Source organism: Homo sapiens, chromosome 9 (genome assembly GCF_000001405.40).
Source record: "Homo sapiens chromosome 9, GRCh38.p14 Primary Assembly".
Classification (NCBI taxonomy): domain Eukaryota; kingdom Metazoa; phylum Chordata; class Mammalia; order Primates; family Hominidae; genus Homo; species Homo sapiens.
Window position 1 is genome coordinate 137125829 of NC_000009.12, and position 24902 is coordinate 137150730.

Here is a 24902-nt window from a genome sequence, read left to right on the forward strand (position 1 = left end):
AAACCCCGTCTCTACTAAAAATACAAAAATTAGCCAGGCATGGTGGCGGGAGCCTATAATCCCAGCTACTCAGGAGGCTGAGGCAGGAGAATCACTTCAACCCAGGAGGTGGAGGTTGCGGTGAGCCGAGATCGTGCCACTGCACTCTAGCCAGGGCAACAAAGAAAGCAAAAAAAAAAAAAAAAAAAAAAAAATATATATATATATATATATTAAAACTTCTTTTAATATATTTTAATATGTGGCCTAACACATGGTCTGTCCTGGAGGATGTTCCGTGTGCTTAAAAACTGTGTGTTCTGCTGTTGTTGGGTGAGTGTTCTGTGTCCGTCCTTTCTAGTTGATTTTAGCACTGTCCAGACCCTCTATTTCCTTGTTGATCTGCCACCTAGATACGTTTTCCATTACTGAAATAGGTTGAGTGACATCTACAACTATTATTGTAGAACTTACTTCTGTCTTCAAATCTGCCAATGTTTGCTTCATATATTTTGGGGAGCTGTTCTTGGTACATACATCTTTATTTATTTTTTTTTTTTTGAGACGGAGTCTCGCTCTGTTGCCCAGGCTGGAGGGCAGTGACGCGATCTCGGCTCACTGCAAGCTCTGCCTCCCGGGCTCATGCCATTCTCCTGCCTCAGCCTCCCGAGTAGCTGGGACTACAGGTGCCTGCCACGACGCCCGGCTAATTTTTTTGTATTTTTTAGTAGAGACGGGGTTTCACCGTGTTAGCCAGGATGGTCTCGATCTCCTGACCTTGTGATCCACCCACCTGGGCCTCCCAAAGTGCTGGGATTACAGGCGTGAGCCACTGCGCCCGGCCATACATCTTTATAATTGCTATAATGTGTTCATGAATTGACCCTTTTATTACTATATAATGTCCTTATATCATGTAATAATTTTTTTTTATTTTGAAACGGGGTCTTTTTCTGTTGCCCAGCCTGGAGTGCAGTGGTGCAATCATAGTTCATGACTGCCTCAAACTCCTCGACTCCCACAATCCTCCTGCCTCAGCTGCCTGAGTAGCTAGGACTATAGGTCCTAATTTATTTTATTTTTTGTAGAGACGGGATGTCACTATTTTGACCAGGCTGCTTTTGAACTTCCTGTCTCACTTGATCCTCCCACCTCAGCTTCCTCAAGTTCTGAGATTACAGGCATGAGCCACTGTGCCCAGTCCATCCTTTTACTTTCAATCTATTTAAATCTACTTCTCAACAGCATCTGGAATTTGGCCATTCTCCTTCCTGAACCGTATCTTCAATGATGAGATGTTTTCCTGGTTCTCTGGCTGCCCTTGCCCTCCTCCCTGACCCCAATCTTCTCAGTCTGGTGGCACTCAGGACTAGGCCTGGCCCCTTCTTCCAACCTTTCCGGACGACAAAAACCATCTATACCTAGGGACTCCTAAAACCTGTCTCCCCTGGCAGACTCTGATCCCGGCACCACCTGCCCACCAAGGTCTCCATGGCGCCTCCCAGGCATCTCACAGTGGGCAGATCCAAAACGGAGCTCCTCAGTGTCCCCAAGCCAGAGCCTGCACAGCCTTTGCTGGCCCCTCCACCCAGGGACCCGCCCTCCTTTTCCCAAGGCCCACTCCTGCGGAGCCCTCCTCCCCCACTCAGCTTTTCCCACAGCCAGGCAGCTCTCCTGGCCTCCTGCCCTCCAGTGTCTCCACCCAGCCAGAGCAGTTTCACAGTAAACATCTCAGACCTCCAGTCCACGCCAAAATCTTCCCGCACATCAACTGAACCCTCCATGCTACCTCTGTAGCAGGACGAGCCGCAGACAAAACCCCTGACAACGGGTTAAAGACGGAAGTGGCGAGACTCCGTCTCAAAAAAAAAAAAAAAAAAGGAAGTGGCTTCATTCCGCGGGAACTTCGGCAGACTTGCGTCTTTAAGTACCGAGCTCCCTGAAAAAGAAATTCCCGGCCCTTTTAAGGGCTTACAACTCTAAGGGGTCCACATGGAAGGGTCCTGGTAGATTGAGTAAGCGCGGGAAATGTGACTAGGGGCTATGCATCAGCTCACAGAACAGAAAGTTTTACAATGCTTCTGCATACAACGTCTGGAATTTACAGATAACACAAGTAGTTCAGGTCAGGAGCTGATATTATTATTATAATTATTAACCACCAGGGCTGGGTGGTGGCGCCAAGGTCGTCTGGCTATTTATCTTACTTCTGTTTCTTTCCAACTGTTTGCTTTCTCCCTTTCCTCCTGCCTTATAAACTAGGCAAGGTGGGGAGAGGAGGCCAGCAGGAAAAGTGGTGGTCTGCTTCCTTACCTCCAGGACCTGTAGGACCACGGATGGACTGAGACAACCCCCACTCCGTCTCCCAGCCCTGGGAATTTCACCGTCTCAAATATGCCAAGGTCCTCCTTGCCTCAGGCAGTTTCGCTCAGGCTCAAGTCAGCCCCCTCCCCACCCTGCCCGGTGCCAGCAGCTTCTCAGCCCTCAGATCTTGCCTTCAGTGCCGCAGCCTCCGCTGAGCCCTCAGAACCAGCCACGGTTCTTCCCCAGGGCCCTGCTCTTTTCCACACAGGACGTACACATGTGCCACCTGCCTCTGCCTGTCTGTGGCTGGCTTCTCACCAGCCTCTCCTACAAATCTGTTTTATTCATCTCTGCAGTCAGAACTAAAACGGCAACTGGCCACGGTAGGCGTTCAAGGAGAATGAAACAAAGAATATGCCTGTTTCTTCCCAGCCAAGAATAGGTTGTGCTCCCAGAGACAGACACAAAAGGGACTCAGAAAGGCATGCTCTGAGTTGAGAGTCTCAACTGAATCTCAGTGACTCTCCGACTGAGAGTCTATAACGCCCTTAAGCCAAAGACCACTGCAAACACGCCTGTAGTTAAACAAGTTGGGTCTTTTACTCTACGTACAAACACACCAGGTTGAGACGTTGAGGTGTCTCAGCAACAGGGTGTTCGGAGGAAACTATTACAGGATTTCACCTGTAGTTGGGTGATTTGGGGGATGATCTAAGGAAGGAGGATTTGGTTCTAGATTAGACGCACGCTGGAGCCCAGGAGGTCGAGGCCGCAGTGGGCCATGATCGCCACTGCGCTCCAGCCTGGGCGACTAAGCGAGACCTTGCCACAAAAACATAAAAAAAGATTAGACGCTGTGGGAAGGAAGAGGGTAATTCTCAGCTTATGATCGCTGCATGTGACAGGGTGAGCTGTGCGTTCCCTGCTTAGAATCAAGAAGAGGTCTTAGTTCATCTCACTTTGTCGTGGTGTCTGCGTGGCGCTTCATGCCTCACAGAACATGGGCTGGCTACGAGGGTCAAACCAGGCCACAGCAACGCGTCAGGGGCCGCTTGCTTTCTTAGGAGCAACAGGTCCAGAGGCTTCCGCTCCAAGAGGGACTGGGGCCTGGGCCAGGACCTTGCCGAAAAGCAAACGAAGCCCAGACAACCTGCTGGGGCTCCAACCCTTCCTCCCACCACCACCGCCCCGCAGAATTTGGGTCGCTGAGACCGCTGCAGGCGTGCCGACCACGGCTGCCCCGGCCCGGAAAGCAGATTTGCCCCTTTTTGCGGGGTAAGGGTGGAGAGGGCGGCGTCGGGGGGAGTCGAGTCTGCCCGCCCAGGCCCCGCTCGGAGCCGCAGGCTGGGAGGGCGGCGGGCGCAGCGACCCCGGGCCTCGGTCCGCCCGGCGCGGTCCTCACCCTGCAGCACAAGAGCCGCCGGCAGTTCTTGCTGTTGCCGTAGCTCTCGCCAAAGCTCTGCGTCACCGAAATGAAGTCCTGATGAAGCAGCGGCGGCGGATGCGTGGAAGGGGGCCTCGAGGAACCACCGGCGGCATCAGGAGACCCGGTCCTGTAAAAGACTGAGAGCTCCGCCTCTCCGATACTCGCGGGCAGCCATTGCGGCGCACAGAACCGTCCGCGTGTGAGCAGCGCGCACGCGCACGCAATGCGCCTCAACCCCGCAGCCTATGCGCCTGCACTGAGAGCTCACGGCTTGCGGCGCCTGCGTCTACCCCGCGCGCAGTCGCCACGGCAACAGGGCGGGCCTTGGTTCTGCTTCGGGCGTGGTCGGTGCATGGTCCTCCAGCACTGTTCGCCCCGCGGGTCTGGTCCTGGGTTCCTTTCGCCTCCTGTCGTCGGACGGCACCGGCTTTGCCCACGGCCTCGCGGGGAGACGCAGACACCCGGGACCCGGGGAGGCGCCCGGGCGCCGCCGCCATGTTGTCAGGGAGCGCCCGCTCCCAGCTCTTCGGTTCCGGGACCCGCGGCGCGGGGATGGGGCTGGGCCGCCCTTGGTAGCCGTCCTGGGCTGGGGGCCACCCTGGCCGCGTGGTCACCGGCAAGAAGCCCAGGGCCTCACCCGGGCGCGGCGTCGCGGGGGCCGAGGGAAGGACCGGACCCTCCCGAGGTCGCGGACCCGGCCGGCTGGGGCGAGGCTGGGGTGGCCCCTACCCCGAGCTAAGCTGGCCGCGCCGCATCTCACCGTCGCCGGGGCCCGAGCGCTGCGCCTGGACCGGCGCCGAGCGAGGGGGCCAAGCGGCCGGCTGGACCCACAGTCCCCGCGCCATAGGCGGGTCGGGGCTTTCAGACTCGGCTCCAGCCCTCAAACCTGGTAGCCTTGGAGGTCAGCTTGAGATGACTGCGCTTCCTGCGCGCGTTGTCCTCCCCAGAAACGCTCAAAATGGCAAAGCGGCGTCCGTGGCCGCCGGAGGCCTGTGTTCTCCCCTGCCGAACCTCACGCGCGGCCCCTCCCTCATTTTCTTCTGGCCAGGCTGCCCCCTGCCCCTTGGGCGATTCTGCTGCGTCCCACGGTCCTGGCTGTGGCATTTCTGGGTGTTTGGAGGGCTCCCCCGGCAACGACGTCTAATGTCTATAATCCCGGCCCTTTGGGAGGTCGAGGGGGGGCGGGGGATCACTTGAGGTCAGGGGTTCAAGACCAGCCTGGCCAATATAGTGAAACTCCGTCTCTACTAAAAATACAAAAAATAGCTGGGTGTGGTGGCGGTTGCCTGTAGTCCCAGCTACTCGGGAGGCTGAGGCAGGAGAATCGCTTGAACCCGGGAGGCAGAGGTTGCAGTGAGCCGAGATCGCCTCGTTGCACTCCAGCCTGGGCAACAGAGCGAGCCTCCGTCTCATAAGATTAAAAATAAATAAGAAATCACAAAAAATTAGTACGTATTTTGAGCTGAATAAAAATGGAAATATGCACATGAAAATGTATAGGATGCAGCTAATACAGTGCTTAGAGAAAGTTATAACTGCAAACTCTTAACGTTAGAAGAGGTGAGGCCGAGAACAGTGGCTCACCCCTGCGATCCCAATGCTTTGGGAGGAGACTGAGGCCGACCCCGGAGGATTGCATGAGCCCAAGAGTTTGAAATTAGCCTGAGCAACACGGTGAAGCTCCATCGCTACAAAAAAATATGAATTAAAAGGCCGGGCGCGGTGGCTCATGCCAGTAATCTCAGCACTTTGGGAGGCCAAGGCGGGCAGATCACGAGGTCAAGAGTTTGAGACCAGCCTGGCCAATACAGTGAAACCCCGTCTCTACTAAAAATACAAAAAAAAAAAAAAAAAATCTAGCTGGGTGTGGTGGCGGGCACCCCAGCTACTTGGGAGGCTGAGGCAGGAGAATTGCTTGAACCTGGAGGGCAGAGGTTCCAGTGAGCCAAGATCGTGCCACTGCACTCCAGCCTGGGTGATAGAGCGAGACTCCATCTCAAAAAAAAAAAAAAAAATAGGTGTGTTGATGCACACCTCTAGTCCCAGGTACTTGACAGGCTTAGAAAGTGGATCCCTTGAGCATGGGAGGTGGAGACTGCAGTGAGCTAGGATTGCACCACTACACTCCAATCTTGGCAACAGAGTGAGACCGTGTCCCCCCCGCCCCCCCCCCCCACACACACACACAAAATCCAAGCTATTCGGAAGACTAAGGCGCGAGAATTGCTTGAGCCTGGGAGGCAGAGGTTACCGTGAGCCGAGAATACACCATTGCACTCCAGCCTGGGCGACAGAGTGAGACTGTCTCAAAAAAAAAAAAAAGAAAGAAAAAAGGAAGTCAGTGAACTAGAACGCGGAAAAACAACAGAACATCTATGAAATAGAAAGTTTTTATTTATTCACTTATTTTTTTTCGAGACAGAGTCTTCTCTGTCGCTCAGGCTGTAGGTGCAGTGGTGCTATCTTGGCTCACTGCAACCTCTGCCTCCTGGATTCAGCGATTCTCCTGCCTCAGCCTCCGGAGTAGCTGGGATTACAGGCGCCTGCCACCACACCCAGCTAATTTTTGTAGAGACAGGGTTTCACCAATGTTAGCCAGGCTGGTCTCTAACTCCTGACCTCATGACCCACCTGCCTCGGCCTCCCAAAGTGCTGGAATTTCAGGCGTGAGCCACCGCACCCGGCCTGAAATAGAAAGTTCTGGCCGGGCGCTGTGGCTCACGCCTGTAATCCCAGCACTTTGGGAGGCCAAGACGGGCGGATCACGAGGTCAGGAGATCGAGACCATCTTGGCTAACACGGTGAAACCCCGTTTCTACTAAAAATACAAAAAATTAGCCGGGCGTGTTGGCGGGCGCCTGTAGTCCCAGCTACTCGGGAGGCTGAGGCAGGAGAATGGCGTGAACCCAGGAGGCGGAGCTTGCAGTGAGCTGAGATCGCGGCCACTGCACTCCAGCCTGGGGGACACAGCGAGACTCCGTCTCAAAAAAAAAAAAAAAAAAAAAGAAAGAAAGTTCTTAAAAAGTTGTTTCTTAGAAAAGATCAACAAATTTGATAAATGTTTAGCTAAACTGGCCAAGAAAAAACTAAAATTAGGAATAAAAGAGGGGCTATCACTACTGCCCTTCCAGATACAAAACGATTGTTAGAGAATACTACGAACAACTTTATGTCAATAAATCAAGCAGCTTAGATGAAATGGACAAATTTCTTAAAGCATATAAATTGCTGGCCGGGCACGGTGGCTCACGTCTATAATCCCAGCACTTTGGGAGTCCGAGATGGGCCTCAGGATTACCTGAGGTCAGGAGTTCGACACCAGCCTGGCCAATATGACGAAATCCCATCTCTACAAAAAAATACAAAAAAATTAGCCGGGCGTGGCGGCGGGCACCTGTAATCCCAGCTACTCGGGAGGCTGAGGCAGGAGAATTGCATGAACGGTGGAGGTTGCAGTGAGCTGAGATCGGGCCACTGCACTCCAGCCCTGGGAGATAAGAGCAAAACTCTGTCTCAAAATAAATAAATAAATAAATAAATAAATAAATAAATAGCCAAAACCAACTCCCAAAGAATAAAAAATCTGAATATAGCTATAAAGAAATTGAGTTAGTAATTTTAAATCTTTCTACAAGAAAAAGAAAAATGCTCAGGCCTAATCAATTTCACTAGTAAATTCTACCAAAAATTTCGGATAGAATTAATTCCAATTCCGACCCATTCTATAAGGTCCATATTCACCTAATACCAAAGCCAGAGAAAGATATCACAAAAATACTACACACCAATATCCTCCTTTAATATCAATGTAAAAATTCACTACAAATTATTAGCAAACAGAATCCGGAAAGATAAAAAGGATTATACATCGTAACCAAGTGGGATTTATTTCAGGAACATTTTGAGGATTTTTGTTGTTGGGTTTTTTGTTTTGCTTTGTTTTGTTTTTGAGACGGAGTCTCGCTCTGTCGCCCAGGCTGGAGTGCAGTGGCGCGATCTCGGCTCACTGAAACCTCTGCCCCACCCTGGATTCAAGTGATTCTTGAGCCTCAGCCTCCTGAGTAGCTACCACACCTGTCTAATTTTTGTATTTTTAGTAGAGATGGGATTTTGCCATGTTGGCCAGGCTGGTCTCGAACTCCTGACCTCAGGTGATCCGCCTGCCTCGGCCTCCCACGTGTTGGGATTACAGGCGTGAGCCACTGCACCTGGCCAGGAATGTAAGGTTTTAATATTCAAAAATGAATTGATGTTATGTACTAAGTTACTAGACTGAAGCACAAAAATTACATTATCATCTCAAGAGATACAGAAAAAGCATTTGACAAAATCCAATACCTGTTTACAATAAATATTTTTAACAAACTAGGAAAATGGTAACTTTTTTTTTTTTTGAGATAGAGTTTCATTCTTGTTGCCCAGGATGGAGTGCAATGGTGCAATCTCAGCTCACTGCAACCTCCACCTCCAGGGTTCAAGCGATTCTCCTGCCTCAGCCTCCCAAGTAGCTGGGATTACAGGTGCCCGCCACCACACCTGGCTAATTTTTTTTTTTTTTTTGTATTTTTAGTAGAGACAGGGTTTCACCATGTTGGCCAGGCTGGTCCTGACCTCAGGTGATCCACCCGCCTCTGCCTCCCAAAGTGCTAGGATTACAGGCATGAGCCACCATGTCTGGCCAGGAAAAATGGGAAGTTTTAAATGCTTTTCCAGTAGCACTGGAGACAGGGTGAGATGTCTGCTCTCATCATTTATATTGTCACGGTGCTGGGTTTCTATACAGTCCTCTCAGGCAAGAAGAGAAATAAAAGGTGGCTGGGCGTGGTGACTCACCCTGTAATCCCAGCACTTTGGGAGGCCGAGGTGGGAGGATCCCTTCAGCTCAGGAGTTTGAGACCTTCAAGACCAGCCTGGACAACACAGTGAGATCCCATCTCTAAAAAAAAAAAAAATACAAAAATTAGCCGGGTATGGTGGCTTGCACCTGTAGTCCCAGATACTTAGGAGGCTGATGTGGGAGGCTCACCTGAGCCTGGGGGGTTGGAACTGCAGTTAGCTGAGATCATGCCACTGCACTCCAGCCTGGGTGATAGAGCAAGACGCTGTCTCAAAAAAAAAAAAAAAAAAAAAAAGGCTGGGCACAATGACTCACACCTGTAATCCCTGCACTTTGGGAGGCCAAGGCGGGCAGATCAACTGAGGTCAGGAGTTCAAGACCAACCTGGCCAAAATGGTGAAACCCTGTCTTTACTAAAAATACAAAAATTAGCCGGGCGTGATGGCGGGCACCTGTAATTCCAGCTACTCAGGAGGCTAAGGCAGGAGAATCACTCGAACCCGGGAGGTGGAGGTTGCAGTGAGCCAAGATTGCACCACTGCACTCCAGCTTGGGTGACAGGGTGAGATCCTGTCTAAAAAAAAAAAAAAAAATCCAGTCAGGAACAGGAATGCTAAGGAATCAAGAGCAGCAACAACAAGCTAGCAGAAGTAACAACTAACGAACAAGTTCATAAAGATCACAGGGAGGACCAGAAGACCTGCATTCACTGTCAATTTTATTTATACTTATTAACAATAAATGGTCTGAAAATAAAATTAAGAAGACAGCTTCATTCACAATTGCATAGAAAAATAAAATACTTTAGATTAAAATTAAGAAAATAAATGCAAACCTTGTACATTAAAATCTACAAAACATTGCTGAGAGAAAGCAAAGACAGCCTAAAAAAATGGGGAGTGATCCTATGTTCACAGATTAGAAGATTCAATATTGTGGCCGCGTGTGGTGACTCATGCCTGAAATCCCAGCACTTTGGGAGGCCGGGGGCGGGGGGGGGGGTGGATTATGAGGTCAGGAGTTCGAGACCAGCCTGGCCAAGAGACCAGCCTGGCCAATATGGTGAAACCCTGTCTCCACTAAAAATACAAAAATTAGCCGGGCATGATGGTGGGCGCCTATAGTCCCAGCTACTCGGGAGGCTGAGGAAGGAGAATGGCGTGAACCCAGGAAGCAGAGCTTGCAGTGAGCCGAGATTGCAGCACTGCACTCCAGCCTGGGCAACAGAGTGAGACTCTGTCTCAAAAAAAAATATATATATATATATATTATTTTTATTTTTAGTAGAGACAGGGTCTTACCATGTTGGTCAGGCTGGTCTCGAACTCCTGACCTCAGGTGATCCTCCCATCTCGGCCTCCCAAAGTGCTGGGATGACAGGTGGGAGCCGCCGCGCCCGGCTGGGAGGTGTTCTTTCTAGACCTCACCTGGGAGTCACGCACCATTACCTCTACCACGTTCCATTTGTAAGTGCAGGCCATGTATGCCTGGAGGGAAATCAATCTTCTGCCGAACAGGGTGGTGTTCAAAGCACCACCGGCTCCACCACACTCTGCCTTTTATTCTGCATTCTGTTTCTTGAGACCACGCGCCGCTACGTGGAATGGTCTCAGGAGCTCATGTGTTTGTGCTCCATGAAGTCAGAAAGTCCAGCCTTTGCACTGCCACATACCCACCCTTAGAACAGCGTCTGGTACACGGTAGGTGCTCAGTGAATGTGCCTAGTGGAGTAAACGTGCGGTGCGGTGCTGCCTGCGGTCGGATCTGTGGGGATCCTGTGATGGGGAAGACGGCTACCAGGAAAGGTGGAATTTGGAAAGTCAGGACAGGGAGAGAGGAGGGACTTTGTGGAGGCAGGAAGGTATGGGAGCCAGTCCAGCACAAGGGCTGGCGGGAAAGCCTCGTGGGTGTCAGAGACTATACCTCTGTGAGGGTCCCTGGGCTCCCCCAGGTCAGGGCAGAGGTCCTGACCCCAGTCTAGCTCTTTAGCGGGGGCCAGGCCCGAGATGGCCAGCTCCGTTTCCCCTGCGTGGCCTGGCAGCCCCTCCAGGAGCTGGCACGGGAAGCAGGCCTGTCCTCCACGCCCTTGGCCGGCCTTGGCTGCGATGGGTGGAGACGCTTCTGCCCGCCCCACCCCTGTCTGTCTGCCTCCTCCTCTCAAGCAGGCTTCCTCTCGACAGAAATGTGTCTGCAGGTGGCTCTTGAGCCCCAGTTCTCAGGGATTCACCTGCAGAGGATGTAGAGCCGGGGTCCCTTCCCTGCTTCTGATCTGCCCAAAATCCTAGGGAGAGCCCTGATTGGCAACCCCTCGGCCAATGGACTGAGGCCAGGGCGCGTCTGCACCCGGGTTGACAGCCCTGACTAGAACCGCGAGGCTGGGGTCAGGGAGGAGCAGCCGCCTCCCGCCGGGGCCGCAGCTGTCAGAGTGGGCAAGGGGATCTCCACAGAGGGAGACTGTCCCACAGTGGCCCGGGGTAGAACAGCGCTTCCCTCCCCACCCAGCGCCTGACTGCTGGCCCCGGGCCCATCCCAGGGCAGTGCCCCAGGTCTCTGGTCCTCCCCACAGCCTTTGTCTCACCAGGTCTCAGAGGGGTCCGAGTCCAGGCTCATCTGTTGTGGTACCACTGCCCCCTCCCTCATGGTTGTGGAAGAAGCCCACGGGGGGAAAATGCAGAGCAGAATCCAGGAAAGACTCGCTCACAGGAGGAGCTGTGGCCTGGAGACGCGGCCTCCACCCCATCTCCATCATGGACAACCTGCCAAGGGGTCTTGAACAGAAGCTTGGGGACGCACATACGGTCCGGTGGGGCAGTGACCCACTGGCAGACCAGCTCCCTGAGTAGAAAAGAAAAAGCCCTGGTTTGTGGGGTTTGATGATTCCGTGGCAGCAGAGATAATCCCACTGTGGCCAATTTCGAAGCCTGACTGTAACAGCTGCTGGCAGGTGTCTGAACATTTAGCGATCAGCTCTCCAGGGTCAGCGGGAGTCGCTCCAGCACCCCACGGGGTGGGGGTGGGTGGGTGGAGCCAGGGCCTCTGCTGCAGCCTCCAACCCCTTTCTTCCACGCTGATGAGGCGCTGTCTGGGCTCAGGTCTACCCCCACGCAGCTGCCAGGCTCTGGCCTGCCTGAGGCGGATACTTTTTTTTTTCTTTTTTTTGATGGAGTGTTGCTCTGTCGCCCGGGCTGGAGTGCAATGGTGCGATCTTGGCTCACTGCAACATCCGCCTCCCAGATTCAAGCGATTCTCCTGCCTCAGTCTCCCAAGTAGCTGGGATTACAAATGCCTGCCGCCACGCCCGGCTAATTTTTGTATTTTTAGTAGAGACAGGGTTTCACCATGTTGGCCAGGCTGGTCTCGAACTCCTGACCTTAGGTGATCCACCTGCCCTTGCCTCCCAAAGTATTGAGATTACAGGCATGAGCCACTGTGCCCTGCCGAGGTGGAAGTTTGGAGATGGGCCACAAACTCCTGGAGATAGGGCCAGCTCAGTCCCCCTGAGCACCCACACACACCCTCCTGAGAGCCAACAGAAGGAGTGAGGGCCCCGAGGCGGATGACCCGTGTGCCTCAACCCGAACGGGGAGAGGCGGGGTCTGCAGCAGGGTACGGGCAGGTGATCCCCCAAGGAAAGATTTTCCTGTATTGAGAGAGAAGGGGCCAAGAGGAGGAGCTTGTCAAACACCACAGCCCCTCCCCCTCCTCTCAGCTCCAGGGGGTCCCTGGTGCCAGTGTTCGGCTGATGGAGAGAACGGCAAGCGGGAGAGAGAGTGTGACCCCTGTGGGCACATGACTTCCCTTGCTGCACTGCTGCACATAGCAGAGGTGTGGTGACGACCCTGTTTTGTCCCATTGGGGGCGTTTGCTGTTAGGTCTGCAGAATCCTCAGTTGCTATTGGAAATGGTGACATCACTGGCAGGGGCGGAGCTTCAGCCATCCTTCAAGTTAGGGAGGGGCACGCACACTCCAGGGGTGGAGGGGGACAAAGACAGGGTGGTGTGGACCAGAGGGATGGGTAAGGCTCTGGAAAAGGGGGCGCTGGGAGCGCATTGCGAGGGGGCTGGAGAGGGAGAGAGGAGCGGAAGCTGAGGGTGTGAAACGGCTGGCCCCGAACACACCTCGCGGCGCTCCAGTGATTCCTGGTGTCCGACCTCAGCCCCAGTCAGTGCGGGTCCAGTTTCCAGGCTCTCGCGGAAGGCCTGGCTGAGCACATGCGGCAGCCACGGTCACCCTCCCTATTCCTCTTAGCCCGAGGAGGGGGGTCCCAAGTTACATGGCCACGCAGATGGGGCCTCTCCCTCATTTCTGAACCTTGTGGGGAGGGGAACCTTGAAGGGAGCGCCCCCCAGAGCCATGGCTTAGGGCCTCCCCCACCCCTCTGGAGCTCCAGTCTGCAAGAGTCAGGAGCCGAAATATCGCTGACTGTGGGTGACGACTCTTGCGCGCACACACACATACAAGCGGGCACGACGCGTTCGGTCCTATTAAAAGGCACGCAAGGGTGCGGGCTGCACGCGGTGACACGGACCCCTCTAACGTTTCCAAACTGAGCTCCCTGCAGGTCCCCGACAGCACAGGCCCCTGTCCCAGGACCCCTCCAGGCACGCGCTCACACGCACACGCGCGCTCCCCGGCTCACGCGCGCTCCGACACACACGCTCACGCGAACGCAGGCGCACGCTCTGGCGCGGGAGGCGCCCCCTTCGCCTCCGTGTTGGGAAGCGGGGGCGGCGGGAGGGGCAGGAGACGTTGGCCCCGCTCGCGTTTCTGCAGCTGCTGCAGTCGCCGCAGCGTCCGGACCGGAACCAGCGCCGTCCGCGGAGCCGCCGCCGCCGCCGCCGGGCCCTTTCCAAGCCGGGCGCTCGGAGCTGTGCCCGGCCCCGCTTCAGCACCGCGGACAGCGCCGGCCGCGTGGGGCTGAGCCCCGAGCCCCCGCGCACGCTTCAGCGCCCCTTCCCTCGGCCGACGTCCCGGGACCGCCGCTCCGGGGGAGACGTGGCGTCCGCAGCCCGCGGGGCCGGGCGAGCGCAGGACGGCCCGGAAGCCCCGCGGGGGATGCGCCGAGGGCCCCGCGTTCGCGCCGCGCAGAGCCAGGCCCGCGGCCCGAGCCCATGAGCACCATGCGCCTGCTGACGCTCGCCCTGCTGTTCTCCTGCTCCGTCGCCCGTGCCGCGTGCGACCCCAAGATCGTCAACATTGGCGCGGTGCTGAGCACGCGGAAGCACGAGCAGATGTTCCGCGAGGCCGTGAACCAGGCCAACAAGCGGCACGGCTCCTGGAAGATTCAGCTCAATGCCACCTCCGTCACGCACAAGCCCAACGCCATCCAGATGGCTCTGTCGGTGTGCGAGGACCTCATCTCCAGCCAGGTGCCCTCCCCCACCTCCGCCACCCACCTCCCCTCTCCTCCATCCTGCAACCCCACACCCCCAGTTTCATTCCATCCTTTCCGTGCCCCCTTCCTCCCTGTAAGACACCACCCCAGAGTCAGCTGGCTGCTTCCGGGAGGCCTCGTCTCACTAGGAACCAAACACCAGGGTCTGCTGGCTCCCCTATCTTGGCCTGAGACCAGTCACCTGCCACCTTGGCTGGTCCTCAGAGGGCCCCTGGGGCTCCAGGCCCTGACTGGTGTGTGTAGACGTGGGGCTGGAGTGTGTCAGTGTGGGGGTGGGCATTCCGGGTAAGAGAGTAGAAGCGCCTGTCCAGCTACATGCCCGCCCTGCAGAGCTTTAAACAGGACGGGGCCTGGGGCCATCTTTGTTTCTGCTTCCAGGTTCTCCTGCCCTTTCTTTCGTCCCTTCCCCCTACCGATGGGTCCGCCTGGGAAGAGAAATGGCTCAGGTGCCACGGCAGGACGCTTTGTGGGGGTGGGAGTGGGGGTGCACACGCGAGAGGCATCAGGGCATGGGAGCTGTCGGCAGCCAGCGCTGCGGGGGAGGACGTGGCTCCTGGGATTTTGCCTGTCGGAGCTGTCCGCCCCTGGGCCGAGCGCCTGCTGAATTCCAATGAGGCTGCAAGGATCTGCAATGCAGCCCTTTATGTAAGAGGCAAGACAGACATCCAGCCTAGCACCGCTCACACGTGCCTACCTGATGGACACACCACATCTGTGGACACACATGCTCACACTCACACCAAATGTTACATTAGCACACACTCATGCACCTCAGCATCACACAATCAATTTCATATGCTCATCTGCACACATGCAGATCCATTGACACCTGCTCATGTGCCACACACGGCTTGGCATGCATTCCCAGAGGCACGTGCAAACATGCACATTTACACACATGGTTCCAGTCATTCACACGCATGTACACGAACAGACATGCCAGGGCATGTGATGCACATAACCATACCCTAGCACACGCGTGAACACCTGCATGGTCACACACGGACCTACGGGTCTTTGCCAAGCACCTCTGGGTGCAGGCTGGAAGCAAGAGCTGGGGGAGGGAGAACCACTTCAAACAGCTGCAGCTGCAGGGCCCACACCAGAGTTTTCTCAGAAATCCTCCCTCCCCACTTCACAAGCCACCCCCGTGCCCCAGCCCAGGACACCATGGGATGGGACTGGGGGGATGCATCTGTAGCCAGTGGCTGCAGTCACATATTCCATCTGGGACTGGGGAGGGACACGGAAGGTGGACTCAGGAAATCCAGGAGGGGCCATTCCTGGGGAATTGCTTCAACTCACGCCCATGTTGCTGTCTGTCTGTGGGCATGGCCTCTGCAGCAAAGGCAATGCCTGCAGCTACCACTCACGGAACACACCCCCGGCCAGGTACTGTCCTGCCACGTGGGGCCATGCAGTGCACGCCCCCATTCGCCAAAGCTCTAAGAGGCACAGGCAGACTTGGGGACAGACGCAGGTCCTTGCTGTGTGAAGGTGGTGTGGACCACCAGCTGCCTGCCTCCCTGCCTTGGGAGGCTGGGGAGAGAGGGAGGCATCAGCTCCAGGGGGCTGAGCCGCTGGCTTTAGATCTGCCCCATGGGGCCTTGGTCATGGGCAGGAAGGCTGGGCTGCACCCCCAATGCCTCCCTTCCCTTCCTTGAGGATGAGGCCAGCACTCAAAGTAAGGGCTTGGTGTTGTTCAGACAGAGCCCGTCACAGGCCCTGCCCCTGGAGACACCAGCAAAAGGGATCTCGGCCTCTTTGGCAGCTCCTAGCTGCTTCCCCCTGAAGTCCGGTACCACCCTTCAGAGCTGCCCGCCCTGTCTCGGGATGTGGGCTGGCCCCACCCCTGGCCCATCAGGAAGGACGGGTGGGTTCTGAGAATCAAGGCCATCATGATGCAGGACCAGCCATCCTCCCCGGTCCACCTTGGGTGCGTCCCGTGCTCCAGGCCCCCAGGACATCCCAAGGGCAGTCCTTCACCTGGCCCTTGAGCACAACACCTGCAGGGCCCTAGTCAGCAGTGTGAGAGGAGTGAGGGGAGGTCCGGGTGGGGTCTCCCTCCCCTGCCCTGTGGGCATGTGTGCATCTGGGCCTGGGCATGTAGCATGTACCCGAATCATGCCCCCAGCCCCCCTTAGCCTGCTGGGTTCAGCCCCTGCTGCTTCCAGATCTCAGCCTCTAACCCAGTGCCTGGCTCACCCCTGACTCAAGCTGATCATGTCTCCTGTGTCCACAGGTCTACGCCATCCTAGTTAGCCATCCACCTACCCCCAACGACCACTTCACTCCCACCCCTGTCTCCTACACAGCCGGCTTCTACCGCATACCCGTGCTGGGGCTGACCACCCGCATGTCCATCTACTCGGACAAGGTAAGCCTGACTGCCAGACCAGGCCTTCCGGCCCTCGGCCCCAGGGCACAGCCTGGCCACTCCAGGAGCAGCGGGCCGACCCGCTCACATGGAACTCACACACCACAAACAGCCACACAGCTCCCCCACATTCATGCACGTCCACACGCTCTCACGTGTCCAACTCACACATCTGCAAACATGCTCACATGCACACTCATGTGCTCTTACACACACAATACACACTCTCTTGCACATAGAGGGCTCACGTGGAGCCCAGCACGTGCCCCCAGCCCAGAGCAGGCCAAAGGGAGGGGGCACACATCACACACTCACACATCACACACACATCACACACTCACACATTCATACAGCACCCACACGCTACACTGCTATGCTCACCCTCCCCACACATGAACACTGACACACCCATGGATTCGCACAAAGTCACACACACTCACTGGCACAGGCACCAGTGACACCCCCTCAGGACGAGAGGGCCCGTGGGCTAGGAGAAGGGATGGCTGGGAGGCTTTCTAGACAGGTGGACTTTGAAGGGGAGTTTGGAGAGCTGGGGGTTGCTCCAGGAGGAAAGGGGTGTGCACGCAGCCAGGGTGGTGGGGCCAGCCTTTCCCACTGCAGGCATGGGTGGAGAGCAATGTCTGTGGTTGCAGCTCAGGGTCGGGGGCGCTGGCCTGGGGGCTTCCAGCCTCTAGGGCTGAGGGCACCTTGGCTTAGCCTCCTGCAGACCCTCCTGGCCCACAGGCTATGAGGAGGGCTTCTGTCCAATCCTGGAACATCAGCTGGAAGAGAGGAGGGTCATCCAGTCAGTTTTGCAGGAATCTCCAAGCCAGAGAGCCATGGGGGCTTGCTCTAGGTCACACAGCCCTCCGTCTACCCAGGATGCAAACTGGGCACTGAGAGGCTGACCAACCTGGGGCCACTGGCAGACAGACCTGCAGGGCCACTTGGCAGGGGACATCCAGTTTGGTGCCAGCGCTGAGGAGCCAGAGGGCTGGGCTGTGCAGCCAGGCTTCTGGGTCCCCCACCTTCTCCAAATTCCTCCTGCCCAGAGTCCACAGTCCTTGGTAACACTGCCTTAAAGCACAGGGGTCGCCCCAGCCAGGCCCAGGCTCTTCTGGGAGGATGGAAGGCCCCAGAGGCAGGAACTGAGACAGAGGCTGGAACAGCCACCTTCCTGAGGCTCTGAAAGCCCTGGCGTGCCCCCTCGGCACCCAAACTGCTCCTCCCAGGTGACTTCACCTCTGGCCATGGGAAGGTGGGGGTCTCATTCCTGTGCCCTCAGGCACGACCTCCTTCGCCTCTCTGGGCACCAGTTTCCTCACATGTGAAGGAGAGAAGATGGCCTTACCCAGGAAAGCAGCCAGTGGTCAAATGAAAGGCGGGGGAAACGGATGCCCCTGGCCCAGAGCAGGCCAAAGGGAGGGGGCACAGCTCACAGCTGCACCCTGGCCTTACCACAGTCTCTACACTACAACCAACCTGTGCCCAAAACATGAACCGGCAAGGCCAGGTCAGAGCTAGTCCAAGACCTCAAGCACAGCCTGCCTTGCCACCACGTCACCAGGTGGATAGACAGAAGCAGGGGACATTTTTGCACCCCAAGGCACTGCCCCAGGCCACAAAGAGGGAGCAGGTGAAAAATAACCTGGAAGCCTCAGAGGACCACAAGATCAGCAAGAGTCCACAGGGACACTGAAGGAACCAGGGCTTACCTGGACAGACACAGAGAACTGAGGCAGAGGGGGGCAGAGCCTGCTCCACTCCCGGCCATGCCACGGCACTCCGTGGCAGCTTGAAGCCAGGAAAAGCAAGCCAGGGCAAGCAAGCACCACGCTCTCGCCTGGGGAGATGAGGCCTTTAGCCCCAAGAGTGAATTCTTCTTCATACATAGAGTTGTTTAAATTTGGGAGGACTCTATGGGCAGCCCCAGGGGGATCTTCGAGGCGCTATGTGTCATCAAGAATTTCCTGAGCTCAGCTTGTCCAAAGGTGGTGGGCTGCAGGGGAAGAGGTGAGCTCACCCCAGGCACAATTCCACAGAAACCCACGTCCCTTAGGGTGCTATGGGGCCAACACTAAACCTCCTCCATTTCCGAGATTATATGTGGGAGGAGAGGCCGGGGTGGGAGAGAGGTTCCCAGGGTCTAAAAAGTGTCCCCAGGATGGTGGGGACAGGGGTGGGAAAAAGGAGGGGTCCCAGTGTCTAGAAAGTGTCCCCAGGTTGGCCGGGCGCGGTGGCTCACGCCTGTAATCCCAGCACTTTGGGAGGCCGAGGCGGGCGGATCACGAGGTCAGGAGATCGAGACCATCCTGGCTAATACGGTGAAACCCCATCTCCACTAAAAATACAAAAAAATTAGCCGGGCGTGGTGGCGGGCGCCTGTAGTCTCAGCTACTTGGGAGGCTGAGGCAGGAGAATGGTGTGAACCCAGGAGGCGGAGCCTGCAGTGAGCCGAGATTGCACTCCAGCCTGGGTAACAGTGCGAGACTGTTTAAAAAAAAAAAAAAGTGTCCCCAGGGTGGTGGGGACAGGGGTGGGAGACAGGAGGGGGTCCCAGGGTCTAGAAAGTGTCCCCAGGGGTGTGGGGACAGGAGTGAGAGGAAGGGGGTCCCAGGGTCCAGAAAGTGTCCCCAGGGTGGTAGGGACAGGGGTGGGAGACACGAGGGGGTCCCAGGGTCTAGAAAGTGTCCCCAGGGTGGCAGGGATGGGATGGGAGACACGAGGGGGTCCCAGAGTCTAGAAAGTGTCCCCAGGGGTGTGGGGACCGGGGTGAGAGGAAGGGGGTCCCAGGGTCCAGAAAGTGTCCCCAGAGGGGTGGGGACAGGAGTGAGAGGAAGGGGGTCCCAGGGTCCAGAAAGTGTCCCCAGAGGGGTGGGGACAGGAGTGAGAGGAAGGGGGTCCCAGGGTCCAGAAAGTGTCCCCAGAGGGGTGGGGACCGGGGTGAGAGGAAGGGGGTCCCAGGGTCTAGAAAGTGTCCCCAGAGGGGTGGGGACCGGGGTGAGAGGAAGGGGGTCCCAGGGTCTAGAAAGTGTCCCCAGGGGTGTGGGGACCGGGGTGAGAGGAAGGGGGTCCCAGGGTCCAGAAAGTGTCCCCAGAGGGGTGGGGACAGGAGTGAGAGGAAGGGGGTCCCAGGGTCCAGAAAGTGTCCCCAGAGGGGTGGGGACAGGAGTGAGAGGAAGGGGGTCCCAGGGTCCAGAAAGTGTCCCCAGGGTGGTAGGGACAGGGGTGGGAGACACGAGGGGGTCCCAGGGTCTAGAAAGTGTCCCCAGGGTGGCAGGGATGGGATGGGAGACACGAGGGGGTCCCAGAGTCTAGAAAGTGTCCCCAGCGGGGTGGGGACAGGGGTGGGAGACACGAGGGGGTCCCAGGGTCTAGAAAGTGTCCCCAGGGTGGTAGGGACGGGGTGGGAGACACGAGGGGGTCCCAGGGTCTAGAACGTGTCCCCATGGGGGTGGGGACAGGGGTGGGAGGAGGGGGGTTCCCAGCCTCCGGCGGGTGTTCCGGCAGTGGGAGGCGGGTGGGAGGGCGGGTCCCCGCGGGTCCACCTCAGCCCGCCGTGCCCCCGCCTCCCGCAGAGCATCCACCTGAGCTTCCTGCGCACCGTGCCGCCCTACTCCCACCAGTCCAGCGTGTGGTTTGAGATGATGCGTGTCTACAGCTGGAACCACATCATCCTGCTGGTCAGCGACGACCACGAGGGCCGGGCGGCTCAGAAACGCCTGGAGACGCTGCTGGAGGAGCGTGAGTCCAAGGTGAGGGTCGGCGCCGCGGGTGGGCGCCTGGCGGAGCCGAGGTGCAGGACGGGCCGCCTTGTGTCTGTGGCTCCGTGTGTGACACCCTCTTCTTTCCATCGTGCATGGTCAGCACCACCACGTCTGGCGAGCGCCCGCCCCAGCCTGTCCTCGGCTCATTTCACTCGCTTTTGCCATTAGTCGAAATCTCCTTCGTGTCAGTCCCTGCGGGGCGAGGGCCAGACCACCTGGAGCTCCGCAAACACCCCTGCCCCGCGCTGCCGAGCGCCCTCGTCCCCTCCTCCTGCCCATGCCCCTCGCTCCCTGGAGGCCCCAGCCGGGCTTGGGACTCGTCACCCTTCCCGCCCACCCTGTCCTGAGTCCCCAGCAGCCTCCCTCTGGGCAAGGTCTCCCCTGTACACGACCCCCACATACCGCCCCTGCAGGCCTGTCCCCTCCTGGCTGGGCCCATTCCCTGTCCTCCCCCGCGTGGCCTCCCCTGAAGCTCTGCACCTCATGGCTCAGCAAAGCCCTGTCCACAGACACCTGCCCCCCAGCCTGGACCGCCCCTGTGGGCTCCACTCCCCTCCTTGCCCCCACCACAGGGCTCCCTCTGCACTCCTCACCAAGACCCATTAGCCACCTGGTTCTAGGACACACTGACCCCCAACACAGCCAGGCGTCCACTCTGTGGGGCTGCAGAGAGATCAGAGCTGGGATTTGGGGGGGTCCGAGCGACCCCTTTCCCCTTCCTTACCACTCCCATTTGCAGTCTGGGGCAGAGCTGGTTCTCGGCTACAGACCCCCGGAGCCCTGGGTGCTCAGCACCTGGGCCAGCTCCTGATCAAGCAGTGGGAGGAGGCCCAGGCTGAGGAGGGCCAGACCTATGGGTGGCTGGGAGCATGTTTCGTGTCAGAGCTGGCTTCATCGGACTTAGGGCCAACCTAGCACCCCCCAAGGCACCCCAGGCCCCGGGAGGGACCAGAGGGCATGGGTCGGGGGTAAAGCCAGGGGCAGACCAGAGGGTCCTGGGAGTACTGTCGTGGGGGGTCTGCTGAGTCTTGGGGGGGAGGGGCATGGGCACCAAGGGCCCCACCCAAGACAGTGCCCCTCACCCCAGTGCCCGACAGGCCCCTCCCCCCAGCGCCCGACAGGCCCCTCCCCCCCAGCACCCGACAGGCCCCTCACCCCAGCGCTCGACAGGCCCCTCACCTTCTGGCATGTCCACCCACGGCCACGGACTCCCATCACACACTCACCCCTGCGCACCCAACTGCCTGCTTTCACTCACAGGTGCATGCACACATTCCCATCACACTCCACACCTCTGGCCACAGGCTCAGGCTTGCCTCCATGCAGCTCCAGCGCCACACACACACCTGGACACGTACTCAGGTGCGCTCCTCACACACACACCTGGACACGCACAGGTGCGCTCCTCACACACACACCTGGACACACGCTCAGGTGCGCTCCTCATGTGCATGCTCACCCTTACTTGCGCCAGCCAGCACAGACACACATGCACACACGCACACACGTGCACAGGCACACACATGCACACATGCACACGCACACACATGCACACACGCACACACAAGCACGCACACACGCACATGCACACATGCACACACACAAGCATGCTCAGACCATCTGGCCCTTCCCCAACCTTCACAGGCCTTTGTGGACTAACCCTCCCATGCTGACACCCACAGGCGCATGCCACCCCTGCAGGCGCACATAACGCACACACACCCTCTTGGGCGCATATGCGAGCCGAAGGGCGTGGGCACCCCAGTTAGTGAGGATACCTCGGTCTCTTGAGAGGCAGAGGGAGACCAAGGAGAGGGAGGGGGAGGGACATGGGGACAGGCCCCGGGGGGGCTGCTCACCTCCCACTCAGGACTGACACAGGTTGGAGTGGGCACTGCTGGGGCCACACAGCAGGTGCACGGCAGGGTGGGGGCGGCAGGTGGGGCTCCCTCCGAACGGTGGACGCGGACAGGGCCTCCTTTTCTCCCGAGAGCGACCGTTTCCAAGAGCACAGCTTCGTGGCAGGGAGCCTCCACGGCCCCGCCCCTACGACCCTCACCCCCAGCTCCACCCCGGCCCCCAGCCCCGCCCCGGGCCTCGGTGTTTGCGAGCTCCAGGTAGGAGCCCGTCTGCAGACGTGCCGAGGAGGTGGTGTGATTGCTTTAGCGCCGTCATTTTCAACCGTTTATAATCTTCTTCTGTGTCTGCATATTTTCTCTGTGCACATTATTCATCAGAGTAAAAAAAGGAACTATGAAAACCTCGACCAACTGTCCTATGACAACAAGCGCGGACCCAAGGTATATATGCATGGACGTGCACGCCACCCACGGCTAGGGAGCCCTGGCCTCGGCGCCTCGGCCACTAGGGCCACTGTCTGGCCCAGCCGCCGAGCCGCAGGCCCAAGCAATGAGGAGAGGCAGCCGGCAGCAGGCAGGAGAGGGCAGGCAGGAGAGGGCAGGCGTGGCGGCGTGGGTGCCTGAGGCCCACCCGCCGTGACCCTAGCCTGCACCCTCGAGGCAGGCGCGGCTGCAGGAGGAGCTGCTCTCCGGGAAGTGCATGCGAATCTCCGAGACCCCAAGGGTTTCCTCGTGGAACCCGGGAGGGAGCCCGCCCGCCTGGCCACCCACTCGCCGGGGCCGGGCTGCTCCTCAGGGGCCTGCGGAATCAAACCTCAGAGGACCTCCCATGGTTTTGGAAAAGTCAGCCCCATCTCTTTTCCTGGTTGCATTCCAAAACTCTTTTCTGTTTCCCGTCCGCTGCACGCCTCCTGAGTCTGGGTCCACTTCAGCTTGCATGCTCAGTGCAAAGATGAGGACAGGAGTGAGGTGGAGAGAGAGATCCAGAGAGAGCAGAGAGAGCACAGAACGAGCACAGGTGAGCGCGCAGGCTGAAGACAGGACAGGACCGGAGAGGCGAGGCCAGGCCAGGCAAGGACTGAGGAAGGCAGGCGGAGGCGCAGGTGGCAGGCGCAGACCATGGCAGCCCTAGCTAAGCTGCCTCGGGGTTCCCAGCGGCTCCGGCCCAACTCTCACCCCTGAGGCGCTATGTCCCCTGCCCCAGCCGCCTGCTAACACTCTTGCTCACACCGCAGGCAGAGAAGGTGCTGCAGTTTGACCCAGGGACCAAGAACGTGACGGCCCTGCTGATGGAGGCGAAAGAGCTGGAGGCCCGGGTCATCATCCTTTCTGCCAGGTGAGGCTGGGCAGGGCCCTACACACTCCACACAGGATGGTACCTGAGCCAAGTACCCGCCATCTGAGCCAGAGCTGGGACATTGTTGGGCACAGTGACCTTCAGCTTCCAAAGCACCTTCACCAAGGACAGCCACCCCCACCCCCACCCGCACCCACACTCCTATCGGCATGGCTGATGTGACACCCTCCATCTGTCCCTCCCTTCCTGGGCCCTTCCCCATTCCACAGTCACATGCTGCTGCTGCCCTGAGCTGGGCTGTGGGAGAGGGATATGGAAGAGACCCTGCCCTTGGGAAGCCCCGCAACTCAAGGGGGCAAACCTGTGCAAACAAGGCCCAGGCCTGGGGCCAGGGACTAGGCCCAGGGAAGTGATGTGCAGGTGTGCCAGGCGAAAAGGCCCACAGCAGGGAGAGGGCCAGATTTCCCAACTGAAGGATTGCAACAGCTGCAGCAGTAGCTTAGGGGGAAATCAGTTAGGTACCCGGGAAATCAAGCTGCTCTGGACAGGTCCGGTGCCACAGAGCAACCTTGGGGTGGAGCCCACTGTAAAAAGCTCCCTATTTGCAAATGGCTAGGTTCTCCCGGGAAGGAAAAGCCTGGGTGACTGGGAATAGGAAAAGCAAGAGTGGGGAAGGGCAGGGTGAGGAGCCTTGCCCCATGGGACAGCCAAAACCCCACTGTCCCTGACCTAAAAGCTCTGCTAGGCTCCAACAGAGCGGAGCAAAACAGCAGTGAAACACCCGGAGGAACACAGCCCAGCCCTCCAGCCCTGCATATGGGAAAGAGCCGGCGACACTCTCAGTCCCAGGGCAGACCACCATTTCCACGGTCCATCAAATGACCCTCTAGCACGGAGACAGATGCAGCCCCCTCACCAGGGCAGAACGCAGGGTGGGGCCAGCCAGGGCTCCTCGGACTAGAAGGCAGGAATCTCCCCAGCCCAAGGTAGGGTTGTTGCTTAGAGCTGCCCACGGGGCCTTACATGCTCCTCCTGCAGCTGCTATAAAAAGGCACTAATCGTCCCCCATTACGCCCCCTGCACTCGGCTTTAAGCTCACAGGTCACTTGTCCACTCCACTCATCCAACTGCAAGCCCCAGGGAGGGTTGGCCTGGGCTCCAGGAAAAAAGATTTTTAAAGACGTGACCAGGCAAAGTCCCAAGGGTATGCACAGGTCCCAAAGAAGGAATGCCCCGCCCAGGGAAAGACCCGCCCAGAAAAAAAGACCCGCCAAGGGAAAGCTCCGCCCAGAAAAAGACCTGCCCAGGGAAAGCCCCGCCCAGAAAAAAGGTCCTCCCAGGGAAAGCCCCACCCAGGGAAAGCTCCACCCAGATAAAAGCCCGCCCAGGGAAAGCCCCGCCCAGAAAAAAAGATCCGCCAAGAGAAGTCTCCGCCCAGATAAAAGCCCCGCCCAGAAAAAGACCCGCCAAAGGAAAGCCCAGCCCAGAAAAAAGACCTGCCCAGGGAAAGCCCCACCCAGGGAAAGCTCCGCCCAGATAAAAGCCCGCCCAGGGAAAGCCCCGCCCAGAAAAAAGACCAGCCCAAGGAAAGCTCCGCCCAGGGAAAGCCCCGCCCAGAAAAAAAGACCTGCCCAGGGAAAGCTCTGCCCAGATAAAAGCC

General features: G+C 57.8%; 1 protein-coding gene across 9 annotated transcripts in view, besides 4 other annotated features; it reads left to right on the top strand.

Annotated features, from left to right (window-relative positions):
- Window positions 2383-2592: an enhancer, noted in NCBI's record as "active region_29345". NCBI's record gives its function as "activates an Ori minimal core promoter by ATAC-STARR-seq in GM12878 lymphoblastoid cells {active_cell/tissue: GM12878}" and the evidence as "EXISTENCE:reporter gene assay evidence [ECO:0000049][PMID:35858748]".
- Window positions 3583-3662: a silencer, noted in NCBI's record as "silent region_20582". NCBI's record gives its function as "represses an Ori minimal core promoter by ATAC-STARR-seq in GM12878 lymphoblastoid cells {active_cell/tissue: GM12878}" and the evidence as "EXISTENCE:reporter gene assay evidence [ECO:0000049][PMID:35858748]".
- Window positions 4023-4532: a silencer, noted in NCBI's record as "silent region_20583". NCBI's record gives its function as "represses an Ori minimal core promoter by ATAC-STARR-seq in GM12878 lymphoblastoid cells {active_cell/tissue: GM12878}" and the evidence as "EXISTENCE:reporter gene assay evidence [ECO:0000049][PMID:35858748]".
- Window positions 12869-13163: a silencer, noted in NCBI's record as "tiled region #8071; K562 Repressive non-DNase unmatched - State 20:ReprD". NCBI's record gives its function as "represses a minimal TATA promoter and a strong SV40 promoter by Sharpr-MPRA in K562 cells {active_cell/tissue: K562}" and the evidence as "EXISTENCE:reporter gene assay evidence [ECO:0000049][PMID:27701403]".
- The window catches only part of GRIN1 (glutamate ionotropic receptor NMDA type subunit 1), a 29603-nt gene continuing 18026 nt past the window's right edge, over window positions 13326-24902 (top strand). For 5 of the 9 annotated variants that reach the window (NM_001437330.1, NM_001185090.2, NM_001437331.1 and 2 more), the window contains exons 1-5: window positions 13326-13916; window positions 16185-16319; window positions 19898-20074; window positions 22324-22386; window positions 23181-23281. In NM_001437330.1, the coding sequence (NP_001424259.1) occupies window positions 13659-13916; window positions 16185-16319; window positions 19898-20074; window positions 22324-22386; window positions 23181-23281 (734 nt within the window). In that variant the 5' untranslated portion in view covers window positions 13326-13658. The remainder of the gene's footprint in view (window positions 13917-16184; window positions 16320-19897; window positions 20075-22323; window positions 22387-23180; window positions 23282-24902) is intronic. The other 4 variants (NM_007327.4, XM_005266071.4, NM_021569.4 and 1 more) reach the window with 1 other exon arrangement.